The sequence below is a fragment of the Homo sapiens genome, chromosome 12 (assembly GCF_000001405.40).
Source record: "Homo sapiens chromosome 12, GRCh38.p14 Primary Assembly".
Taxonomy (NCBI): Eukaryota; Metazoa; Chordata; class Mammalia; order Primates; family Hominidae; genus Homo; species Homo sapiens.
In genome coordinates, this window is record NC_000012.12 from 61,230,699 (window position 1) to 61,234,631 (window position 3,933).

General features: G+C 38.1%; 1 pseudogene; it reads right to left on the reverse strand.

Annotated features, from left to right (window-relative positions):
* PGBD3P1 (piggyBac transposable element derived 3 pseudogene 1) lies at positions 245–2,254 on the reverse strand (annotated as a pseudogene).

A 3,933-nucleotide genomic window follows, 5' to 3' on the forward strand; every position in this document is an offset into this window, starting at 1 on the left:
TGTCAGATGGGTAGTTTGCAAATATTTTCTCTCATTCTTTAGGTTGTCTCTTCACTTTGTTAATTGTTTCCTGTGCTGCTCAGAAGCTTTTTAACTTGATGTGATCCCATTTGTTCATTATTGTGTTGGCTGCTTGTGCTTGTGGGGTATTGTTCAAGAAATCTTTTCCCAGACCAATGTCCTGGAGATTTTCCCCAAAGTAGTTTGAGGAAACTCTCTTGCAGTTTGAGGTCTTAGGTTTAAGTCTTTAACTCGTTTATGCTGAGGTTGAAGTTTTCTGAATTTGGCCATGAAATTCATATATATTTCCTAGAAAAATTCAAGGGACAAGAATTTGAAGAGAAAAAAAATATTATGTTCCATTGTTGAGTTATGTGGTGTTCCAAAAATGGAACGCTAGGCAAAATCACTGCTACCTTGTACATAACATATAATTTTTTTTTTTGTCTCATGACACCTGCTACTCAGTGTGATATTCAACAGAACACTTCAAATGTAAAGCAACATTACATTTTTCACATCGAAAAGTGGTGTTCTTATGACATTCAGCACATCGCGTTTGCTTTCCCTGTTTGACTATCATGTGATTTATGCCATCATAATGTGAGTCAATGTTATGCTTCTGAGAAGGTCTTCCTTTTTGGCCAGGTTCTGGAGGATGACCATGGGTCTGCAGATAATGACATACCACACGCCAACGACACTCCAGAAAATCCACTGGCTTCTCATCACGTTTTATGCAATTACCAAGCATTTTGTAAGACCAATTTGAAACAGAACAAGAGAGCTCGAATACCAGTTCTTTCCATGGATTGCTGCCTGATACTTATCGAAGTTTTTATCAGCTCTGTCTATGCCTCCCATGAACCAGTTATACACTTTGTTCATGTTTGGCTGCAGAACTTGGGTCTTCTTTTTCTGTTTCCAGGAATAGTAACTGACAAGACACAGGTGATCGATACCAGCACCAGATGAGGCAAAAGTGACAACACTGTTATCATTCCATCTGCAGGCAATATTGCCTTTGCCATCAATTAGATAATCAAATGTGCCTCTTTCTTTTTTCTTTAGCACTATATCCTATTCCAGTGGAGCTTTGTCAGTGCTATCATTTCTCACTGTACCTGTTGCCTGATGTCCCATTGAACTGACCTTATCAAGAAGTGCAATACTGGTAAAAAAGTTATCGAATATAAAATGGTATTGTCCAGGGTGTGCCTCTATAAGTGCCTCTCTAAACTGAAGGGTGAATGATGCACCGACACCGTATTCCTCATGTTTAGTATTTGGTTTTTACCCTGATATGGCTAAAACCAGCAAATGCAGCCCAGACATGTGGCACCACACCAAAACTTACAGCCAAATTGAATGGGCTTTCCCCCAATAAATTGTTCACACCTGTGACGACCAAAATAAGGAAACGTGGATTCATCAAAGCTGAAATATGTTTCATTTGGAACAAATTTCATACATCTCTCATTGAGTTTGCTTATGAGAGGTTGTAACTTGGAAAACTTGTCCATTGGATCCAAATTTGCATTGTCAGCAACATCCAAATTAGAAAATATAGTTTCAAAGCGGTCACATCTCATGGCAGCACTCACCAGTATATTATGCGCATCTGTTCTTTGTTTACAAAACATACGCCTTCTAGGAGCTGAGACATAGGCACTCAGAAAAATAATTCCCAGAAAACATTTGAATTTGGAGCTAGTCAAGCCAAGATGTACACCCTTACTTCCAGCATATAAGTTGGAGAACTTGACAATGAATTCAAAGAACTTTTCATCAAGAAAAAGTTCAAGAAGTTCTGTGGGAGTTCTCATTTTGCTAAAGAAACCTTTTGGTGGTTCTGTAACTCTACCTGCTAGGGGGTGTGTGTTAGATCAGCGTTTTGCCATTTGAAAACAACTTTTGTCACTTTCCTCCTCCTCGATGGTGGAGGTTGCTGCACAGTGGAGGTAGATGGAACTTCGCCAGGAGAGTCATCATTATGTGCATATGAGGGATCATCTGAGTCAGATTCAGCATCCGAGCCATCTTGAATAAGTTATGCAGTTGCAAACAACAAAGAACCTGGCAGATTATTTATTATTACACCTTCTTCATCTTCTGAGTCCTCATCAGAAACAGGTGTTGTAGCATTTTCAGGTGGTTGTATCACTCTAGCACTTGCTTCTATGATGTCATCTGTCTCTAAAAGGTCAGTTATTTCATGTAAACTTAGAGTTTGAGGCATCTTGGGACTAAAACGGAAAAACAAAGTATTATTAGTCCCAGTGGTAGTCATTTTGCCTAGTGTTCCAAAAATGGAACATGCAAAATCTCAAACCCATAACTAATGCAACAATAATAATTTCGGTATTTTCTTTTTACAGCACAATAGCATAACTAGTAGAGAAGTAATAAAAAAATACTATGTAAGAGGTAATGCAGTAAAGTTTTACGTACCTGTCTTTGGATACTTCCTCAAAAATGTTTCCAAAAACTCACATCACTTTTTGTCAAGCTCCCAGCATGCCAGTGTCTTCAGCAGTGACTAACTCTGTGCACCATGTGATAACATGTACCCTCAGGAGGCAGACATATGTGAAAAATCAGACTGGCGATGATCTTGAGCAGTAGGATATAAATCACTCCCACATGCTTAGTGTTCCAATAATGGAACAATAGGCATAAATGTTAACCTATTTTGATTTGATTTTGGTATATGGCTAGAGACAGGGGTCTAGTTTCATTCTTCTGCATATGCATATCCAGTTATCTCAGCATTTATTGAAGAAACTGTCTTTTCCTCCGTGTATGTTCTTGGCACCTTTATCAAAAATGAGTTCATTGTATTAGTCAGGGTTCTCTTAGAGGAACGGAACTAATAAGATACACACACACACACACACACACACACACATATGAGTTTATTAAGTATTAACTTACACCATCACAGGGTTCCACAATAGGCTGTCTGCAAGTGGAGGAGCAAGGAGAGTCACTCCAAGTTACAAAACTGAAGAACTTGGAGTCCAATGTCCGAGGGCAGGAAGCATCCAGCACTGGAGAAAGATGAAGACGGGGAGGCTAGGCCCATCTCTCCTTTTCAGGTTTTTCTGTCGGCTTTATATTTGTTGGAAGCTGATTAGATTGTGCCCACCAGATTAAGGGTGGATCTGCCTTCCCCAAACCACTGACTCAAATATTAATCTATTTTGGCAACACCCACACAGACACACCCAGGATTAAAACTTGGTATCCCTCAATCCAATCAAGTTGACACTCAGTATTAACTATCACACTGAAGGTCTGTAGATTTGTTTCTGGGTTCTCTATTCTGTTCCATTGGTCTATATCTCTGTTTTTATGCCAGTATCATGCTTTTTTGGTTACTATAGCTCTGTTGTATAATTTGAAGTCAGGTAATGTGATTCCTCCAGTTTTGTTCTTTTCACTTAGGATAGCTTTGGCTATTCTGAGTCTTTTGTGATTCCATATAAATTTTAGACTAGTTTGTTTTTTCTCTCTGAAGAATGTCATTGGTGTTTTGGTAGGGATTGCCTTGAATCTATAGATTGCTTGGGTAGTATGGACATCTTAACAATCCATGAACATGGAACAGTTTTTTCATTTTTTTGGTGTCCTCTTCAATTTTTTCCATCAGTGTTTCATAGTTTTCATTCTAGATCTTTCACTTCTTTGGTTAATTTGTAGGTATTTAATTTTATGTGTGGCTATTGTATGTGACACTAGTTTTAAACTTATTTTTCACATTGTTCACTGTTGCCATATAGAAATGCTTCTGAATTTTGTATTCTGAAATGTTACTGATTTGTTTATCAATTCTAATAGTTTTTTGGTGGAGTCTTTAGGTTTTCCCAACTATAAGATCATGTCATCTGCAAACAATGATAGTTTAATTTCTTCCTTTCCAATTTGGATACC